Below are 21,739 nucleotides of genomic sequence, written 5' to 3'. Positions count from 1 at the left end.
GATTCAGCTTGCTGGTCCAAGGCTCTCTAGGCAACTTCAAGGAATCAAAGGACCCTGTAGGTCACCTGACTCAGTGAGGCTGCCTTCATCAGAGAGGAGGCCCTCGAGTGAATTAGCAGCTGGGTGCAGGCTTCAGTGTGGCCTTGGCTTCTCTGAGTTTGAGTTTCTCGTGGGGACAAGAGACATTCCTGCCTCCTAGAGTTGTGCAGAGTAATGAGATGGCTGCTTGGCAAAATCGGCAAAGGTTCCTGGGGCTGGGTTCCCTATTGGAAAGGAGAGGCTGCTGGGATCCTGAGGCGATGGTGTGCATTGGTGTGTGGCCCGTGTTGCATCTCTGCTGAGGCCAACGCGATTGTTGGGAGCGGACAGTGTCCTGCCCCTTCTAGAGCAAAGGAAGAGCCGAGGGTCTACACTTGGGGGAGAAGAACAGCACCCAGAGTACCTCATCTGTCTTGGGCCAGGGAAGTGGAGCCTGCTGGAGGCTGGCAAGAGTAGCGGCCAAAGTGCCTGGAAGCCAGGATGTCACCTCTCTGAGCCTGGGCCCTCTTTGTGCCTCAATGTCTTCATTTGTAGTAAATTCAGGGGTCCTACAGCTGTGGATTCAAAGCCTGGCTCTGCCTCTTGCTCACTGTGTGACCCGGAGGAGTCACTTTGCCTCCATCAGCCTCAGAGTCCTCCTCTGTCAAATGGGTGTGATAATGGCTCTCCTGGTGCATGGGTGTGGTAAGGAATCAATGGAGCCCGTGGGCCGCACAAAGGCAGTCCCCCATGACGTGTTGCCGTGAGCAGCGTGATGCTGTCTCTGCCACAGCCTGGTGCAGCATGGGCCGAGCTGCATTCTGGGGTGTGGATGGAGGGGCCTTGGGTGGAGGGAGAAGCTGGTCTCCATAGGATAGGTGAGCATCCCAGGGTTCTCGACCTCACTAGGGAGGCTGGGCCTCCAGGCAGCCTGGCAAGTGGGTGCACAGGCTCTCAGGTGATGGGAGGGGTGGGTGAGGGTGCTACAGACTGAGAACTCTCAGCACCACCTGGAAAAGACATCTCTGCTCCAGTGGGACCCCTAGAGGGCAGCAGGGCTAACAGGGCAGGTGGAGATGGGGCCACAGGCCTCTGACCCTGCATCACTCTGTCTCATACTCCTGACTCCAGTCAGGCTAGGTGTCCCCTGATTCTCCAAGAATCCTCAGGGCCCCTGGAGAGGAATGGAGGAAAGTGCTGGGTGGGGCTGTCCCCAGAATGTGACTTTCCAGTTCCCATTGCCTGTCTGGCACAGAGTAGGTGTTCACTACATACCTGTTGAATGCATGAATGGATAGATCAGGGGTCTGCTATTGCCACAGATTGGCTGTGTGACTTGGGCTAGTTTGTTGCCCTCTCTGTCTCAGTGGCCCCCTTTATAGAACCAGGAGATGTGGCTGGATATTCCCACTGAGCCTTCTAGCTCTGGATCCAGGTCTCTCCCACCCTAGTTGCAGCCCCCAACCTCCCTCCCCAGTTCCCACCAACAAATCCCAAATGGAGGGAATGCAACAAGCCACACAGAAGGGTGCAGAAATGGGCCTTTATTGCCAGGGGCAGGACAACATGTGTAGAGGCTGCTGTTCTGACTGTGAGGAGAAGGGGTATCTGGGAAGGTCCTTCTGGTGGGACTCAGGCTTTCACGCTGGTTAGGTGGTGGCAGCAGCTTCCTGGAGGGAGATGCTATAAGGGGGTGGGGCAAGCCACTGGGAACCAATCTGGAATGAGACCAAGGGGGTTAGGACATTTGCTGCTAGGCTGCCCTTACACCCAGCTGTCAGTCATCCACTGGGCACTTGATGGGACCCAAGTTGACCTGGCTCCAGTGTCCCAGCTCTTTCCCACAATACCCCATGCGGTTTAAGTCCTGGGAAGAAGAAACTGGCACCTGTGGTTTGGGGTCTTTCATTAGCACCTGGCACTGACTCATCTTCATTCCCCTCACCCTCCTTCAGAACAATGGTAGATGTGAAAAGATTGATTGAGGCCACTACTGGAGCCAGGTTCAGGGCCCAATATGTGATCAGAATCATGGATATCCATTTGAGACCAAGGTTGGGGCTCATTCTGTGACCAAGACTAAGGCTCAGTCAATAACTGGCATCAAAGCTCAGTCTGTGACTAGGATCCAGGCTCAGTCTGGGGCCAGAATCAGAGTTCAGTGATTAAGGCTCAGTGTTCAGAGTGTGACCAGAATCAGGGCCTAGCCTGGGATGGGGGCCAGGGCTCAATCTATGACTGAGATGAAGGCACAGTCTTCTAACACAAAAATAAGGGAAGCCACGCTTGACTTTTACTTCACCATAGGCCCCTGTGCATTGGGGCACAGAGACTGGCTCCTCACCAGCATGCACCACAGTGGTCCTCCTCATTCGTCCTCTTCAGATGAGGGTTTGCAGCTGGGTTTTGTGCTGAGGATTATCTGAAGAAACAAAATCAATAGCAGGCCTTAGTCTCTGCCACTGGAATTGAATAGAGACCAGACTCCAAAAGATGCCGCTCTCCAGCCGGTAACCTGACAGTTGTGGGACCCCAGGGATGTTGCTCCACCTCTCTGAGCTTCAGTTTGTTCATCTGTAAAGTGGGTACAATGACAGTACCTTCCCCACAGGGTTGTTGCAAGGATCCAGTGAGATAGTGTGTACAGAGCACAAAGTGACTGCCTAAGGGACTGGACTTGTGGCTATTTCCTTTCTTCTTCTTCTTTTTTTTTTTCTTTTTTTGAGATTGCGGTCTCACTCTGTCACCCAGGCCGGAGTGCAGTGGCATGATGTCGGCTACCTGCGATGTCCGCCTCCTAGGCTCAAGCAATCCTCCCGCCTCAGCCTCCCGAGTAGCTGGGACTCCAGGTGGATGCCACCACGCCTGGCTAATTTTGTATTTTTTAGTAGAGATGGGGTTTCACCGTGTCACCCAGGCTGGTCTCAAACTCCTGAACTCAAGTGGTCTGCCCACCTCAGCCTCGCAAAGTGCTAGGATTACAAGTGTGAGCCACTGCGCCTGGCTGACTTGTGGCTATTTTCATAGAAGGGTCACCTCCAGGGTCTTGACAGCTTTACTTACTCCATTTCTCCCCAGCAACCCCAGCCATGCCTGTAGACCCAAAAGCCAAAGGGAGCCCCCGGGTGCCTGTGGAGGGGAAGCCATGGCTCCCAATTTGCTTAGGACAGTGGGTCCTTCTGCTTCTCCAGGGTCCCCTGACCAGAACTGCTTATGGGGTGGGCACAGAGCTCCATGCCTGCCTCAGAAGGTCCCCACTTCCCCATTGACTTACCGACGACCTGCTGAATGACATTCACATCCAGGGAGTGGATGAAGATGCGGATCAGTGGACATATCTGACAGCGGAGAAAGGAGGAAGAGGAGGGTCAGGAGTAGGAGGAAGAACAGATCATTCTTCTCAGCTGAGAACAAATTGCTTGCCACCCACAGATGAGCTCATTTCTAGGGATCTTAGAATCTTTGAACCTTAGGATTTTATTTTGTTTTATTGTATTTTTTTTTTTTTTTCTGAGACAGAATCTCACTGTCTTGCCCAGGCTGGAGTACAGTGGTACGATTTCTGCTCACTGCAACCTCCGCCTCCCAGATTCAAGTGATTCTCCTGCCTCAGCCTCTCAAGAAACTGGGTTCACAGGCACATGCCACCATGCCTGGCTAATTTTTGTATTTTCAGTAGAGACAGGGTTTCACCATGTTAGCCAGGCTGGTCTTGAACTCCTGACCTCAAGTGATCTGCCCACCTTGACCTTCAAAAGAGCTGGGATTACAGGCATAAGCCACCGCGCCTGGCCTGAACCTTAGGATTTTAGAACAATGGGATCCCAGCAGTCTTAAATCTGGAAACCCTAGGGTGTTAGAATCCTAACACCTTAGAACACTAGAATTCTAGGACCTCAAAAATCTACATTCTAGATTGTTAACATTCCCATGTTGAACTTTGGAACCCTGGAATTTTAAAGGGTCAAATGGTGCCCTGAGGCATTTGCCCTGAGGTTGTAGAGCGGAGTATCTCTTGCTCCTGTGTGTACACAGTTCCCCGCAGATTGCAATTCAGCAGGTCTGGGGTGTGGCCTGAGATTCCGCATTCCTATCAAGCACCCAGCTGAGGCTGAAGCTGGTGGAGGATCGCTTTTGGAATATAACTAAACTCCGGTTCAGTGGGTCACAGAGCCATCCGGAGGATTTTTCTTTTATAAACCCACATTCCTGGGTCTGCTTCCAGAATGACTGATTTAGAATCTCTGCAACTTTGGGCCTAGTAATCCTGCACATGGTACCTATGGTTTTGGATGATGCACAGATGGAAAAAAAATTAAAACTATTTTATAAGTCCATTGATTGTATGATATGTGATATTAATTTTCTATTTATGATAGGGATATAAAGTTTTATTTTTAAAAATAAATGCTTCTAAAGAAACATATTTAAGTAAAATTGTGTTGAAGATGTTAGCTACAAAAGCATATTGGTAGTGCGTGGATATGGTGAGAGGCTCAAGTTTGGGACCTGGCAATTTCAGCTAATGTCAGGCCTCTGCTCTACCCTGCTACCCACCAGGCTGATTAGTAGAGGAGGAAGCTCCAGCTGACCTCCTAAGGAGAAGCTTTCACCTCCGAAGGAAAAGTGCTCAGAGGATACAGCCAGGCCTGCAAATTCCCCCACCTGCCCCCACCAGGCCTGGATCTGGGCTCCAAGGAGTGGGAGACTCACCTCCTTCTGCAGCAGGGAGGATACAGTGCTTTTCAGCGTGTTGATCACGCTATTCACGAACTTGTTGATGATTTGGCTGTGTCTGGAAAACACAGGGAACTATTAAAGTCTGGTCAAGTGGGCAAGAGATGGGAGAACTGCCAAAAAGTTGGGGGCGGTGCGGGAAATACTGTGGAGTCAGATAAACCCCAGGGACATGGAGACACTTTAACAGACAGAGCCTCCCATCCACATGGATCATCACTTAGACTCCCACATCTGACCAGCGGCTCACCCCAGTGCCTCATGAGATTCTCAGCGCAGAGACCTTATTCGTTCACTCATTCAACCCGTATTTACAGAGCACCAGCTATGCACCAGGAACCTAGCTGGGCCCTGAGGATACCGAATAAGTAAAGTACAAACATCCCCTAACCTGGTACCTAAACATTAAGGGTCCAAACATACCCTGATGTGGTACCTAAACAAATCTTGCCAAAGTTGGCTCCTCCCACCTTCAACTCTTAGTATAATTGCCACCTCCTCAGGGCACCCCTCCCTGACTGCTTACCTAAGAGAGAGCTTTGCTATCACAGTGCCCAGTTAAGGGTAATGCTTTCTGCAGGACTCATTTCCCTGGAGCGTTCTTTACCGATGGACTGAATTTGGGTTGGATTGGATCCAAAGTGCAAAGAAAAGCGCTGAGAGGATTTGGAGCTGTAGAGTGGTGTCATTTCACAGATGTGGACACAGATCCACGGCAGCTTAGCTTTCCCTTGGGTAAGCTCCGCAAGAACAGGGACCTTGTCTGTCATCACCAATCAGTTCTCCAGAGCCCAGAATGGTGCCTGCCTGGCACACAGCAGATGCTCAATACACTTTTTTTTTTTTTTTTGAGACAATGTCTTGCTCTGTCACCCAGACTGGAGTGCAGTGGCACGATCTCGGCTCACTGCAACCTCTGCCTCCTGGGTTCAAGCAATGCTTGTGCCTCAGCGTCCCGAGTAGCTGGGATTACAGGAAACCGCCACCACCCCCGGCTAATTTTTGTATTTTTAGTAGAGACAGGATTTTGCCATGTTGGCCAAGCTGGTCTTGAACTCCTGACCTCAAGTGATCCACCCACCTCAGCCTCCCAAAGTGCTGGGATTACCGGTGTGGAGCCATCGTGCCCAGCCTCAATACATTTTTGGCTGAAAGAATGAAAGAAGTGAACATACAATTAAATATATATTGAGAACTTGTGACGAGTGCTTTAAAGGCAAGAGTTAGACTCTTACGAGAGAGAATAGGAGGAGCCCTGGGAAGGCCCTGAAGGATGCAAAAGTCCATCAAAGTGGAGTGAGAAGAAGGTGCTCTAGGTAGCCAGAGCACCCCAGGCAAAGGTCTTAAGCTGGGAAAGAGCCTTGAGAAACAGCCTATCTGAGACATGGCACAAAGGCCACTGTATCTGGGCACAGTGAGTAAGGGGAGGGTACAGGGATACAAGGGTGGGGCCAGATCAAACAGAGCCTTCATGACCATGGGGAGCACTTGGGATTGAACCACAAGTGCAAAGAAAGACCCTGGGAGGATCTGGAGCCTCAGAGTGGTGCCATCTCACAGATGTGGGCACAGACCTAGTGCAGCAGGATGGCGTCCCTGAGGCTACTTGGGAAGATAGCACCCAGCCAGGCTCCAGCCTCTGAATTTACACCCCGGCCTTCGCAACTCACATCAGGCTATGGAAACTTTCTTTGGTTTTCAGGGGTCTTTGAGCAACCTGTGTTCAGATCCCTCAGTGCAGGGCGAGTGGAGTGTCCTCTGCTCATGGCCACAGGGGCTGAGAGCTGAGGACCCAGCCTTGCTCCTGGCCAAGGCCAAGTAGCCCCAGCCCTCAGCTTCTGGGTCATTCATCCTCTCCCAGCCATCGGCCAGCATCACTCTTTCTCCTTCCACCCTCTTGCCTGAGTCAAACCTGCTCTTTCAGGCACAGAGCTTAAGATGTAGATTTTGTGGATTAAAAGGGATCAGTGAGTCAAATGGAGAGGATTAAGTTTTCAAGATCTCCTTTCAGGAAATTTCCACTGGGTGGAGGATGATTTGGGGACAATCTGAAATTAGAGCCCGTGGCAGGCACTTACTCTCCCCTCTCCCTCCCAACTGGAGGCAAGAAGGTAAATATAATTTTATCGTTATTATTATTATTATTATTGAGGGACATTACATAACAATAAAGTGGACAATTCTCCAAGAAGTCATAACAATCCTAATGTGCATGCACCTAACAACAGAGCTCCAAAGGGTATGAAGCAGAAACTGACCGAGTTGAAAGGCGAAATGAACAAATCCATGATTATGGTGGGGAGCTCAACACTCCAGTCTCAGTAATGGAGAGAACCAGCAGGCAGAGAGGCAGCATGTTCCAGGCTGCGTGCTAAATATTTGTATTTTCTCATCTGGTCATCTCAGAAGCCTATGAGTAGTTATTATGAACACCCCCAGTTTACAGATGTGAAAACAGGCCTGGGTCAAGTTGGTGATAAAGTTACAAGTTAGTGGCAGAGCTGATGTGTAAACCAAGGTCAACATGACTCCAGAGCCTGAACACTTTCACCACTAGGCCTCCTCTTAGGTAGAGGACTAGAGCTGAAATTAGGGGTCCTCAAGTTCCCTGAGAGCCCAGCTCTACTAAGATGAATGGGACTTACTTGTCCAGCAAGGAAAGTGAGATGCTGGTTGGGTCACTGGCGCATTCTCCCAGGACGGCAACAGGCTGGTGTGTCTGGGGATCAGTTTCAATTGTGACTGCGGTCAGGAGGTCCAAGGAGGCTTTCAGGTTGATAATCTGGCCAATGATGGGCCTGCAGGAAGTAAGATGCACAGTGAACAAAGTCTAGAAGTTCCTGCCTGTTGCCCAGTTGGGTTCCTCCACCTGTGTGGACATGAGTCAGAATGTCTATGTGTAATGTCAACATGGCCCAGGTAATATCAACATGGTCCATATCCTCTATGAGATTTACATGTTTATATTAGGGGCTTCTTCTCCTGGCCACTTGGGTTTAGCTCATATGAATTTTTTATACAACATTACACTAATAAGTAAAATAATAATAGTTAACATTTATTGACAACAATTTATGTGTAGGTACTTTAAAAAAGTATTTTACCTGGATTCATTTATTACTATCCCTATTTTCTGAATGAGGAAACCTTGGTACAGAGAGGTTAAGTAACTATCCCAAGATCTCATAGCTAAATAATGGGTGGCATCATTAGTGCATGTAGTTTACAGAAGTGCTTTCACACATGCTCATTTCTTGTCTATCTCCTTTAAAATTAAAATTTTTTATTTTTTGTGAGACAGGGTCTCACTCTGTCGCCCAGGCTGGAATGCAGTGGTGCAATCACGGCTCACTGCAGCCTCGACCTCTCCGGCTCAAGCAATCCTCTTGCCTCAGCCTCCCAAGTAGCTGGGACTACAGGCGTGTGCTGCCACACCTGGTTAATTTTTGTATTTTTTGTAGAGACAGGGTTTTGTCATATTGTCCTGGCTGGTCACGAACTCCTGAGCTCAAGCAATCCTCCCACCTCAGTTTCTCAAATTGCTGGGATTACAGGTATAAGCCACCACTCCCAGCTAAACTTAAAAGAGTTTAAACTTATATTTTGCACACACACACTTTATTATACACTGTGTATTATTGTATGAATTTTTCTGTAGTGGTCACTGCAACTTAGAGAGAATCTTGAGGGACAAAATAATGCTGGAGGAAATTTTGCCAAAGAATGATAAATGTTTGTTATCTCAACTTTTCAAATTTTAAAACCAGATAAATGTCATGATTTCAAAACTATATTCAATGGAGCATTGTTTTTAAAAGACACTTGCTTATGGCCAGAGTTCTCTAGAACATTTTAAGGGTTAAGATCTTAGACCCAGAAGGGTTCTCTCACTCACAGATTGGGAAACTGAGGCCCAAGTTCACCCAGCAGCGGGAGGAGGTGCCCGATTCCCAGGTTGGGCATCCATCGGCCAGGTTGCACTGCCTTTCCCAAATCTCAGATTCTAGTGCATACTCACCCGGCCACAGTGACATTCGCGGTGACAGGGAAGCTCAGGTTAAGGCCTTTGCCATCATCGATCGGTTCAGCTTTGACATCCAGGATGAGGGAGTTGCTGATTTTCAACCTGTGTGAAACCCACAATTCACCCTTGTCACTCCTCATGACAGCCACTTGCCAACCACTTCCCTGGGCCAGCCTCGAGCTGAGCGTTTGGGTCTCGTCAGCCTTGCCTTCTTTAGTCTTCACTATAGCCCTGTTCAGAGGTTTGATTCTCTGTATTTTATGGCACAGCACACTGAGGCTCAGGCTGGTGTGATTTTCCCCCAGATTCCTAGGGGAGTAAGTGCCAGAGGCAGATTTTGAGGCCAGAACTATCTGACTTTAAAAGTTCATGAGTGGGACCGGGCACGGTGACTCACGCCTGTAATCCCAGCACTTTGGGAGGCCAAGGCAGGCAGATCTCCTGAGGTCGGGAGTTCGAGACCAGCCTGACCAACATGGAGAAACCCTGTGTCTACTAAATATACAAAATTAGCCGGGCGTGGTGGTGCATGCCTCTAATCCCAGCTACTCAGGAGGCTGAGGCAGGAGAATCGCTTGAACCCAGGAGGCGAGGCTGTAGTGAGCCAAGATTGTGCCATTGCACTCCAGCCTGGGTAACAAGAGTGAAACTCCATCTCAAAAAATAATAATAATAACAATAATAATAATAAAAGTATGTGAGTGGATCCACTGCCTGGGGTTATGTGGCGAAGACTCCAGTTCCCTTCCCCTAAGGGGATCTGGGCTTTTACCCCCAGTTATATATGGAAAAGGGAAGTTTTATTCCTTGGAAAGGGACTTTGTGTACCAGCAAATGGGTAGAGGTAAGGATAAATATAACCTTCACCCTGACCCTGAAATTAAAGAAAGCGGAAGCCCGAACCCATAAGATGCCCGGATTGACTCTGTAGCCCTGCCTCTAATTTACTCAAGCTCTGGTGGGTCTGGCCTTGCTCAGACCACCTTGGCTCTGTGGGAGGGGAATGAGGCTTGTCCATCTGTCTTTCATCTTAAACTTACCTCCTCAAAGATATGTTTTCCCTTTCCTTAGAGCAAAGATCTCCACCCTGAAGGACCAACTCACCCAAAAATGTCCGTGTTAGTTGGAAGCAGCTTAGAAATGACATTGTTCAGCAATTTCTCAGCTTCCTGGGCCTTCTGCTTGGCCAGTTGCCAAGCACTGGATTTCTGAAGCACTCCTAGGTCGACCTTCAGTTTCTCAAGGATGCCTGCCAAAAACAATCGCCATTTTGTGTCACGCACCACTTACGAAGTAGCTACGATGCTCCAGGTACCGGGTAAGACTGTTTGCCTATGTTATTTCATTTAATCTTTATAACAACTCAGTGAAGTAGATATTGTCACTGTCTGCTTTTTTATAGCTAAGGAAATAAAGGCTCTAGATGGTTAAGAAACGTGTCTAGCCACACAGCCAGGGAACTCTTGTTTCCTCCATACTGCCTCCGTACTATTAATAATATATACTGATTATTTATCAACAGTGCAATCAACCAGTTGGCCAGGCAATTGCTATTGATTGTACACCAGTGTCTAGGAGTGACTTAGGGGTCCATTGTGCTAAGTGAGATGCTCACGTGAGTTTGAAAAACTAGAAAGAATGAGAGAATACACTCAAGAAATGAAAAATCTAGAATCCAGGAGAAAAAATGGCTCCAATCCATGAAACTGGAAAACGAGAGTCCCAGAATGACAGCTTTCCAGCAGGTCCACAGAGCAATAATAATAATTTTTTTTTTTTAACTTTAAGTTCCGGGATACATGTGCAGAATGTGCAGGTTTGTTACATAGGTATACATGTGCCATGGTAGTTTGCCGCACCTATCAACCCGTCATCTAGGTTTTAAGCCCCACCTGCATTAGGTATTTGTCCTAATTCTCTCCCCCACCTTGCCCCCAAGCCCCCAAATGGCCCCAGTGTGTGTTGTTCCCCTCCCTGCATCCATGTGTTCTCATCATTAAACTCCCATTCATGAATGAGAACATGCAGTGTTTGGTTTTCTGTTCCTGTGTTAGTTTGCTGAGGATGATGGCTTCTGGCTTCATCCATGTCCCTGCAGAGGACATGATCTCATTCTTTTTTATGGCTGCATAGTATTCCATGGTGTATATGTACCACATTTTCTTTATCCAGTCTATCATTGATGGGCATTTGGGTTGGTTCCATGTCTTTGCTATTGTAAATAGTGCTGCAATAAACATATGTGTACATGTGTCTTTATAGTAGAATGTTTTATATTCCTCTGGGGATATACCCAGTAATGGGATTGCTGGGTCAAATGGTATTTCTGGTTCTAGATCCTTGAGGAATCACCACACTGTCTTCCTCAATGGTTGAACTAATTTACAGTCCCACCAACAGGGCAAAAGTGTTCCTATTTCTCTACAGCCTTGCCAACATCTATTGTTTCCTGACTTTTTAATAATTGCCATTCTTACTGGTGTGAGATGGTATCTCATTGTGGTTTTGATTTGCATTTCTCTAATGATCAGTGATGATGAGCTTTTTTTCATATGTTTGTTGGCCACATAAATGTCTTCTTTTGAGAAGTGTCTGTTCATATCCTTTGCACACTTTCTGATAGGGTTGTTTGTTTTTTTCTTGTAAATTTGTTTAAGTTCCTTGTAGATTCCGGATATTAGACCTTTGTCAGATAGATAGATTGCAAAAATGATCTCCCCTTCTGTAGGTTGCCTGTTCACTCTAATGCCAGTTTCTTTTGCTGTGCAGAAGCTTTTCAGTTTAATTAGATCCCATTTGTTAATTTTCCATGCTCACGGATAGGAAGAAACAATATCATGAAAATGGCCATACTGCCCAAAGTAATTTATAGATTCACTGCTATTCCCATCAAACTACCATTGACTTTCTTCACAGAATTAGAAAAAAAAACTACTTTAAATTTCATATGGAACCAAAAAAAGAGCACATATAGCAAGACAATCCTAAGCAAAAAGAACAAAGCTGGAGACATCATGCTACCTGGCTTCAAACTATACTACAAGGATACAGTAAGCAAAACAGCATGGTACTGGTACCAAAACAGACATATAGACCAATGGAACAGAACAGAAACTTCAGAAATAACACCACATGTCTACAACCATCTGATCTTCAACAAACCTGACAAAAACAAGCAGTGGGGAAAGGATTCTGTATTTAATAAATGGTGCTGGGAAAACTGGCTAGATGTATGCAGAAAACTGGAACTGGATCCCTTCCTTACACCTTATTAAAAACTTAACTCAAGATGGTTTAAATACTTAAATGTAAAACCCAAAACCATAAAAAACCTGGGCAATACCATTCAGGACATAGGCACGGGCAAAGACTTCATGACACCAAAAGCAGTTGCACCAAAAGAAAGCAATAATTCTTATAGGAGGAGGAGGACAAAGTGTCTTTATGATAGGTCTCTGGAGAACAGGGGGATGGGAATAAATGTCGTGACTGGGTGTGGTGGCTCACGCCTGTAATCCCAGTACTTCGGGAGGCCAAGGCAGGAGGATCACTTGAGGCCGGGAGTTCGAGACCAGCCTGGGCAAAATGGTGAGACTCCACCGCTACAAAAAATGTAAAACTTAGCCAGGTGTGGTGGTGTGCACCTGTAGTCCCGGCTACTGGGGAGGCTGAGGTGAGAGGATCAGTTGAGCCCAGGAGGTTGAGGCTGGCAGTGTACTCTAGCTTGGGTGACAGAGTGAGACCTTGTCTCAAAAAATAATAAATGTCATGATAGATACAGGATGATGCTCATGAAAATAATTAAGTATATATGAGAAGAAAATAATTCAAGTGAGAAACAACAGGGCAATTACTAACTTAAGGAAAAACAAAAGACTATACCGTATAAGAAAAGAGATGTAATCATAATATTGTAACTTGGCTCTGTAATGGACAATATCTACCTAGTTATAATGATTCAGAGAATGACACTTTAAATAAAATTGGTGATATAACTACGTCTAATCGTATAATTCACGAGGTGACTTTGGTTTAGACATTTCTGTCTCTGGGCCTCAGTTTTCTCAGCTGTGAAATTAGAGTGTGAGTCCTTTCTGCATCTTTGAAAGTTACCTAAGCCCTTGACAAGGTTTGAAAGGCAGCCATTTGCAGAAGTTACCTCCTCCTACAAAAACTGTTTTTGATGTGCTGCTAATGTTTCCATAAAACAAAAAGAAAGCCAAGTTATTTTAATAGGTTAGCATAAAAAGGAGGTATAAATAAATATAAAGGTAGGTAGCTTTACAGATACCAAGGCTAGGTAGGGATAATTTCCTTAATTTTCACTGAATTAACACAAGTCCATAAAAGAATATTAAACAACCCAAAAGAAAAATATGCTAAGAATATAGACAAAATCCTCAAGTTAAAATATGTAAGTACATAGTAAATATATGAAAAAAGAAGAGGGCTCCTTCATAATTAGAGGAATGCAAAGTGAAATAAGTTATAGCTTTTCATCTGTGAGACAGGCAGAATATTTAAAGTTGTCCATACCCAGTGCTGGAAAAGGAGTGGGAAAAAAGGCACTTTCGTAGACTGTTGGAGAAAGTGTTAACATAGGAGATTATTTGTCAACAGCATAGTTTTTGAACTTTTGAAATCCCACTTGTAGGAATTTATCTTATGCACGTTTATCAGGATATAATATGTAAAAGGCTATTCATTGTGGCATTGCTTGTTTCTAGAAAGATAAACGAATGAGTCAGGAATTGAATAGCCACTTTTCTCAGTAAACCGCCCATAAAGAGTAGCCCCTGGTGGCAGCCTCTGGTAATGCAGGCATAGTGTTTAGGAGGCTAATTTAGGTGACACTGTTCATCACCCTTGTTGATTTACCTTTAAGAGTATTGTCAACTGTCTCAAGTCCCTCGTGAAGAACAGGTTCCAGCTTATCCACGACATTGCTTAGGTCATTGCCAAGATTGTCAAGAAGAGACTCTGAGGTCCCAGTGAGCACGCCGCACAGGAGAACAAGTTTCCAAAGCTGAAGCATCTTTTGTCTTGACACCTGGACAGTCATGGGAAGAACAGGAGTGAGAATTGCCCAGAGGGAAATGGACTCTTCAGTGAGTTCCCATCACTCTTAACATTTAGCATTCCATTAAGATAGATGTGGTTATTTCCTATTTTACAAATGGGCAGCCAAGGTCAGAAAGCTACAGCAACTTGCCCGGAGACACACAGTCAGTGAGCAGAGGAGCTGGGATTTGAAAAGTCAGACTTGACTCCAAGCCCATACTCTTGACACAAAGTTCCTTTTCATACGCTGTCTTCTCTGCCTAAAATATTTTTCTTCTTCTTTACTTTTCCACTTAGGTCAATTCCTACATCATGCCCTCTGTGAAGCCTACTGTAGGCCCCTTCCCAGATTCTAGGTTGGAGGAGTCCCACCTTGCTGCCTTCATTATCCTGATCAAGGTCTTGGATAACACTTCCCTGATGATTTGACCACCTTTCCTACCAGGCTGTGAACTCCTTAGAGGAAGGACTGTGACTTATTTCACTGTCGAATCCTCAGGCGCCAGTAAAAAGCCTGCACCTAGTACAGTACAGTAAACGAATAAATCTTTGTTGAATATAAGTATGAACAAATCAATGGAGACCACCTCATGACCCTGCATTGTTCATTAGTTTGACACTTATTTTAATATAATCTATAGATCTCTAAATTTACTCTGATTTGCCATTTGTCTTGACACCTGGACAGTCATGGGAAGAACAGGAGTAAGAATTGCCCAGAGGGAAATGGAATCTTTAGTGAGTACTCATCACGAACTTGCCATTTAGAGCACATTTAGAGATATATTGATTATCTCTGCTGTATTCAAAATATTAGCTAACCCAAGCAATCCCACCCCTCTGCCTCTTGCCCCCAAAGCCTTCCAAAGACCACCACGTGTGGTGCCACTGGGGGGAGCACGCCACTCACGCGTTTAGAGGAGGATGCTCATGAAATCCTTGCCCCACTGCACAGTCTGCTGGGATTCTGCTGAATGGTGGCGGCTATTATATGGTGGAGATGGGATGGAAGGCTGCCCACAGAAGCAAGCCTTGGTTCTGGGATCATCCAAGGACACTCCAAGGAAAATAACCCCTCTCCAGGATGAGCAGAGAGAGAGATTTCCAACTCAAAGGTCACCCAGGATGCTTGAATTGAAACGGATGGCTATGGAGAGGGCTTTCCGCCAAGACTAAGACCAGGTCCTCATGGAGCCTGCAGCTACCGAGGGGGTGGTCCTTGGTCCTTGTGGGTGAGGACTGGGAGAAGACTGAGAATGAATGAATTGGAGAATGTCCTGGCAGGAGGACCCATAATGACCATCCGGTCTAACTCCGTCATCATTTGGAAACTGAGGCTCAGAGAGGGGAAGCCACCAGCCTGGGGTCATTCAGCAAGACAGGGACCGAGATGGGTCTAGAATTGTGGCCCACAAGGAGTCAGACAGCCTCCCAGGGGTCCTGCCCCCAGGGGTCTGCACCCGGCAGGTGCAGCAGATGCCTGGCAGCTGCTTGTGCTGACACTGGGCTTGGTGTCCCTAAAGGGCACTTTAGATGCACTTTTCTGTTAGTCTTTATGAAAACTCTGTAAGGCAGGTTTTCAGAGCTCCATTTTCCAGTTGAGAAAGCTGAAGTTCAGAGAGGGAGGTGGCTTGTCCATACTTGCAAGGACAGGAACCAGGCATTTGGGCCACCAGGGAAGACCCTTCCACCCATATCAGGCTGAGGTCAGTTAGCAGAGAGGGAGAGTCCCTGGGCCTGAGTATCCTGTTTTTGCTTCGGCCACTGATGTTTGGGTTGGTTGTAACGCCTGCTGCATTGGGCCTGTGTCAACCCGGAACAGCACAGGAAACTCGGGTGGGTGCCCACTTGGCCTCAGGCTGGGAAGGACTGGCACAGAGCTCAGGGTCACCATAGGTCTCTGCCCTTCTGCTCACCCACCTGCAATTCAGCAAGGACCTGGGGGGCCTGTCCTCAAAATGATGCAACCAAGCAAACGGTGGGACAAGACCAGTGGCTCCAGGAGCTGGCTGTTCCTACACTGACCATGGCTCCACTGTTACAGCACAGAGCTGGGCGGCTGCAGGAAGGTGATGGCCAGGCCCCAAGAGCCCAGACCATTAGACCCCTGCTGCAGTCTTGCCTGTGGTCTTGAATGGTTGTCACACCTCCTTCCCTGGCTGCCTGACACCGGGTTCTCCAAACGTCTGAGCCCCGCTCTTCCCCCAGTTGTGAAGCACAGAGCCAAGGGCTGTGCTGAAATCTTGTGAAGGCAGTTTGTCCCAGCCCAGGAACATAGCCCAGGGTGCTGAGCATGATGCAGTGACCTCGAGACCTGGTGTTGGCCCAGGCCTCAGTTGCCTCATCTGTAAAATGGGTAAACACGCTGTTCCTGGATCTCAGAGGCATGGTGGACAGGCAAGGACCTAGGAAATCAAAACGATGGTGAGGGGCTTTGAGGGCAGTGCTCAGAGCCTGGCACTGGGCTTGGGCTGTCCTGGGCATGAATACTCTCTCTCTGCTGGTTGCTGGCCATGTGACCTGGGCCAGAGACCGCACCTTGCTGAGCCTCAGGCTCTTTATCTGTGAAATGGGACTAAGAACAGTGCTCACCTCAAGGGCATGCTGTGAGGTCAAATTAGTGTAATACCCATGAAGGCTTAGCATAGGGTAGGCCCATGATGCACGGCAACAGCAAAGATGGCGAAGAAGATGCTGATGAATATGTGCGCATATGGTCCCGGCTTACGATGGTTTGACTTCAATATTTCAACTTTACTATGGGTTTACTGGGACACAACCCATTATAAAATGAGGACCATCTGGCCAGGCATGGTGGTTCACACCTGTAATCCCAGCACTTTGGGAGGCCGAGGCGGGCAGATCACCTGAGGTCAGGAGTTCGAGACCAGCCTGGCCAACATGGTGAAACCCTGTCTCTACTAAAAATACAAAATCTAGCCGGGTGTGGGGGCAGGCATCTGTAATCCCAGCTACTCTGGAGGCTGAAGCAGAAGAATTACTTGAACCCAGGGGGTGGATGTTGCAGTGAGCCAAGATTGTGCCACTTCACTATAGCCTGGGCAAAAGAGCGAAACTCCGTCTCAAACAAACAAACAAAAATAAAATAAAATGAGGAGCATCTGTCATAAGATTAATATTATATAATATATAATATAGGGTCCTTGGTGGGTGGGGAGGTTGGGATCCTCAGAGGTCACCCGAGGTTCAGGCTGGCTGGTCTGAGTCATTCCGGAAAAAGAAACAGTGACAACTCCTCCTGTGTGCTCCTCCTCCTCCTCTTCTTCCCTCTCCAGGTTACACAAAGTCTTCTCACATAGAAGATGTTTGCCTCTTAGGGACAAAGGCCCCAGCCATGAGGGTCGCGAGATGAATTTCTTATTGAAAATTCCCAGTGAGGCATTAAAGATTAGCTGTGCCAAGACTAGGACATCCTACCTGCTGCGTGACTGCTAATCCCCAGCTGGGGCAGCTTCCTGATCCCACTGGCCCAGCCTTAACCTCCAAGCTGGTATCTTTTTCCATACCTGGCTCAGTGCCCTGGCTAGAAACAGCCTAAGAGGTCATGCAGCCTACTGAGACCAGAGAAAGCGAGTGACAGGGCTGGGGTTGCATGAGGGGCCAGCCAGGCTGGGGGGTGCTCAGCTGACCAGACTGCCCACTGACCTTCCTTCTCCTGTGGACAGAAGCAGCCCCCACCCCTTCTCCAGATAACAAACACACAGGTGTGCACTCCCATTGCACCCATCAAAGATAATTGCCTTATTTTGCTAGTAAAATTGCTGAAAGGCTTGTCACCATTTTGCCTGTGAAATCAGTCAAGTACGAATCATCCATCCAATTTCTAGTAGGTCCTGGTTTCTCACACTTGAACTGCCTACTCAGGAATTCTGGGCAAATAAGAAAGATCAAAGCAACAAAACCTGTTCACACGTTACTGTCCTTCCTGTGACTGCTAAATAGAGCAATTAATAAAGTTGTCACAATGTTACAGTCTGAAGACCTTTAATTCAACTTTTGGTAATTTTGACTTTGCCGGGTTTTCTTCTGGTGACACAGTTTATTCTTTCAGCGCTCAAGTATTTCCCTAAGTCCCGGATTCCACATCTGGACACTAATAGACCCCTCTCAAGTCCTGCCTTTAGAATATGGAGAGCCACTTCCTATGGACTGACAGATGGAGGGGGCCTTGCCCCACTGCAGGCTGGAGTCTTCTTCCTCCTGTCCCATGGAATGTTCCCTGAATGCTTCATCCAACACTCCCAGAGAAAATTTAAAGGAGTTTTCACCGGGTCAGGGTCCTCCCCTGGGTCCTTTGAAGTCTGGGCACCTTGTCTTCGTTCACCTTCGTTCCCCCAGAGCTGGCACAGGGTCTGGTCTACAGCAGGAGTCAAATGATGTTTGTGGCAGGAAAGAAAGGAAAAAGAGAGAGAGAGAAGGAGGAAAAAAGAGAGAGGAAGGAAAGAGAGAGGGAGGGAAAGAAGGAAAGAGAGGGAAGGAGGGAGGGAAGAAAGGCAGGAAAGGAGAGAGGGAAGGAAGAAAGAAAGAAAGAAAGAAAGAGAGAGAGGGGATGTGGAGAGAGAAGAAGAAAGGGAGGAGAAAAGGAAGAGAAGAAGGGAGGGAGGGAGGTCAGCCACGTCTCGCCAGTCCCACTCTCTGAGGGCAAGACCACAGCATCTCCGAGGTCCCAGTACCCAGCACAGGGTCTGGTTCCCCTCATGGGCATTGACTTTCTGTCTTCCCCAGGTGGGTGGGCCTCTTGACATGAGCGAGCTCTCTGGGTCGCTCCCTGTTCTCACCTCACTCCCTGGAATTTGGCCCCTCAATCTCTCTGTGCCCTCTCTCATCTTCCAGATCCTCCCTGCTAAAGTGGGCCTGGCCCTGTATCTAGTCATCTGTCCATTTATTTATTGTTCATTCACTTTACAAGTGCAAATTATTTTCTGCTGGAGCCACTCATGCTTTTGACAACCCTTTAGTGGGCACCCCAAGCCCTGTGATGGGGTCAAAGATGTCTGAAGCTCAGTCCTTGTCCCAGAGACAGGCCAACTCCAGGGCAGTAGGTGAGCTGATTCGATCGGCCCATGTCTGGCAAGAAGGCATATTCTCTCCATTTACTCCTCCCAGCAACCAGAGGCAGGGACTGTCTTATTCCCATTTTATAAACAAGGAAACTGAGGCACAGAGAGGTAATGTGTACTGCCTAAGGTCACACACCTAGTAAGTGGCAGAGCTGGGGCTTGAACTCAGAAAACCTGGCTCCGGAGTCCATGCTCTGAGCTACTCACAGTGCACTGCCATTTATACTGTACATATATATATATATATATTTTAAACAAAGTCCATCTCGGCTCACCGCAACCTCCACCTCCCGGATTCAAGTGATTCTCCTGCCTCAGCCGCCCGAGTAGCTGGGATTACAAGCATGCACCACCACACCCTGCTAATTTTTGTATTTTTAGTAGAGACGGGGTTTTACCTTTTGGCCAGGCTGGTCTCAAACTCCTGACTTCAAGTAATCCGCCTGCCTTAGCCTCCCAAAGTGCTGGGATTACAGGCATGAGCCACCGTGCCCGGCAGCACTGCCATTTATATTCTAACAGTCGGAATCCTCCCTGGGCTGTGTGGGTCCTTTCGATTCATCTCCATTGCGCTAGCACCCCCAGCCCCAAGCCTGTGTCAGAGAAATCCCTTCATAAAAGCTTACTGGTTGAAGGGTTGTGGGTTAGCCCTTTCTCCTCCGCTGGACTGGGGCTCCTTAAGGTTGGGGATCATGATTCTGCCATCTGTGTGTCCTCAGCAGCCAGCCTGGGGCCTGGCTTTTGGTGGATCCCAATAAATACCACAATTAATTAAAGTGAGAAAAGCAAGTTAATCCACAGACTGAATAGATGAATGTAGATGAGACCCAGAATCACAAGAAGAGTCCTTCCTTCCCTCCACCCACCCATCCTGTCATTCATTCATTCGTCACACACTTACAGAGCGTCTCACCTGGGTCCTGTCCTGTGTGGGGCTCTGGGCCCCACAGAGCACCCCCACATGTGTCCATCCTTAGACCCCACCAGCAGGGGCAGAGGCCAACACGCACACTGACAATTACTTTCCACAAAGCAGGTACAGTTCTTGCAAATTTTCTGTGCATTGATGGCCCCAAGCAAATGGGGAGCTGCTGTCCCTGGCACAGTGCCCAGCCCTGGTGAAGGTCCTTCCTTTAAGCACTGAATGGGGTCGAAGTTAGCACTTTGGGAGTGAAAGAGGAAGTGCTATGACACTGTGGGGTAGGTGGAGACAGATCATGTAGAAGACAAATGATGGGAGGATTCCAAAACGTGGCTAAGTCTGGGTATATTTATCTTGCAGGGGCTTTGGGTAACCAGCCAGACCTCAATTTGGGTCCTAACCCTGCTGCTTTCTAGCTGTGTGACTCTGGAATGGTGGCATTGCCTCTCTGGGCCTGCATTTCCTCATTTGCAAAATGGTGACCATGATCATCTGCCTGACATAGCTGATCTGGGACTTAAGCCTGGAAAAGAGTTAGCCCAGTGTCGGGCACATCATAAGTGCTCAGTAAAGATAACTCAGAAGTGCTGTGCCCAGCGGCAGGATTAAGGGTGGGAAAGAGGGCAGAGCCTCATTCTAGATTCCGCCACTGGCCAGCTGTGTGATGTTAGGCAAGGCATGGCCGCTGTCTGAGACAGTGTCTTCTGCTCTCTAAAATCGGTGCTAATCCTGGCTAGTAGGGACTGGGGAGGCATTAAATTAAAGGGGGAATGCAGAATCCTGGAGCATCGTGTGGTGGCCACTCAATCAAAAGGGGGAATAAAAACCATGGGAGAGGCTGGGCACAGTGGCTCATGCCTGTAATTCCAGCACTTTGGGAGGCCAAGGCGGGTGGATCACCTGAGGTCAGGAGTTCAAGACCAGCCTGGCCAACATGGTGAAATCCCGTCTCTACTGAAAATACAAAAATTAGCCGGGTGTGGTGGCAGGTGCCTGTAGTCCCAGCTACTCGGGAGGCTGAGGCAGGGGAATCATTTGAACCCGGGAAGCAGAGGTTGAAGTGAGCCAAGATCTCACCATTGTACTCCAACCTCGGCGACGGAGCGAGACCCCATCTCAAAAAAACAAAAAAATCAAAACCATGGGAGAAGTACCATAGCTCCTTGTCTTTTCGTCCGGGACCCTCGAAGGACTTGTTTCTGTGGGGTCTTGGCTTACCACCTCAGACTTCTCTGTTTCTGCTGGACAATTCCCAAAGCCTCCTCTCTGGCCTCGCAGAATTTCTTTGCATCAACTCTTCCCAGTGCCAAGGGCCAGGTCTGAGGATGTCACCCCCCTGCAAATTCTCCCCATCCTGCAAGCACCTCTTATATAAAGCCTTCATTGAGCCACCCAGCTGACCTTTTCTCACGTTCTGCCTTGTCATTTTTGAACAGGTGTCTTCCTTGCCTACACACCCACAGCTGTCTCTTCTCCATTGTCAACTCCAGGAGGCCAAGTTCTCTCTGGGGTTCATCTCTGGTTTCCCACCATGGCTTGCCAATAAACTGAAATGTTTGTCAGTTGCATTTGTCAGGATTCTTTGGGTTATATTTGTAATTGAAAACACAACCCAAAGTGACTTAGATGTGAAAGAAAGTCATTGGCTCATGTAACTAGCAGGCCAACGGGTTTCAGGCATGGCTGAATCTAGGTGCTCAAAAGAAATCTCCAGGCCTTTGTTTCTTTCCATGACTTGGCTTGGGGTTTCTCCTCAAACTGACTTCCCCAAAGAGGTGGCAGAGATGGCCACCAACAGATTCAGGTCCACATTCTCTCTTAATAGTCTAGCAGAAGAAAGTATGTCTTTCCTAATATCTCTTCACAAGTTCTAGGACTGATTCCCATTGGTCCTGC

General features: G+C 47.8%; 1 protein-coding gene across 2 annotated transcripts, besides 3 other annotated features; it reads right to left on the bottom strand.

The window, feature by feature from the left end:
• Window positions 1-1,547: 1,547 nt before the first annotated feature.
• On the bottom strand, window positions 1,548-21,190 carry BPIFA2 (BPI fold containing family A member 2). Of its 2 annotated transcripts, none has more exons than NM_001319164.2 (9): window positions 21,062-21,190; window positions 13,658-13,829; window positions 9,884-10,028; window positions 8,774-8,881; window positions 7,401-7,553; window positions 4,732-4,813; window positions 3,293-3,356; window positions 2,363-2,440; window positions 1,548-1,736 (listed from the first exon to the last, which is right to left on the bottom strand). In NM_001319164.2, the coding sequence occupies exons 2-8, from the start codon at window positions 13,812-13,814 to the stop codon at window positions 2,400-2,402; spliced, it is 750 nt and encodes a 249-aa protein (NP_001306093.1). In that variant the 5' UTR covers window positions 13,815-13,829; window positions 21,062-21,190; the 3' UTR covers window positions 1,548-1,736; window positions 2,363-2,399. The 2 variants fall into 2 exon arrangements, with proteins under 2 accessions (NP_001306093.1, NP_542141.1); NM_080574.4 differs by lacking the exon at window positions 21,062-21,190 and adding an exon at window positions 14,751-14,801.
• Window positions 4,838-5,339: an enhancer, noted in NCBI's record as "H3K27ac hESC enhancer chr20:31765427-31765928 (GRCh37/hg19 assembly coordinates)". NCBI's record gives its function as "activates a minimal SCP1, AML or CMV promoter by ChIP-STARR-seq in naive H9 embryonic stem cells {active_cell/tissue: H9 hESC(naive)}" and the evidence as "EXISTENCE:reporter gene assay evidence [ECO:0000049][PMID:30033119]".
• Window positions 15,662-16,161: an enhancer, noted in NCBI's record as "H3K27ac hESC enhancer chr20:31754605-31755104 (GRCh37/hg19 assembly coordinates)". NCBI's record gives its function as "activates a minimal SCP1, AML or CMV promoter by ChIP-STARR-seq in primed H9 embryonic stem cells {active_cell/tissue: H9 hESC(primed)}" and the evidence as "EXISTENCE:reporter gene assay evidence [ECO:0000049][PMID:30033119]".
• Window positions 16,162-16,663: an enhancer, noted in NCBI's record as "H3K27ac hESC enhancer chr20:31754103-31754604 (GRCh37/hg19 assembly coordinates)". NCBI's record gives its function as "activates a minimal SCP1, AML or CMV promoter by ChIP-STARR-seq in primed H9 embryonic stem cells {active_cell/tissue: H9 hESC(primed)}" and the evidence as "EXISTENCE:reporter gene assay evidence [ECO:0000049][PMID:30033119]".
• Window positions 21,191-21,739: the final 549 nt, after the last annotated feature.

The sequence above is a fragment of the Homo sapiens genome, chromosome 20, assembly GCF_000001405.40.
Source record: "Homo sapiens chromosome 20, GRCh38.p14 Primary Assembly".
Taxonomy (NCBI): Eukaryota; Metazoa; Chordata; class Mammalia; order Primates; family Hominidae; genus Homo; species Homo sapiens.
The sequence above is the reverse complement of the archived record's forward strand: the minus strand, read 5'-3'. Positions and strand labels throughout refer to the sequence as shown.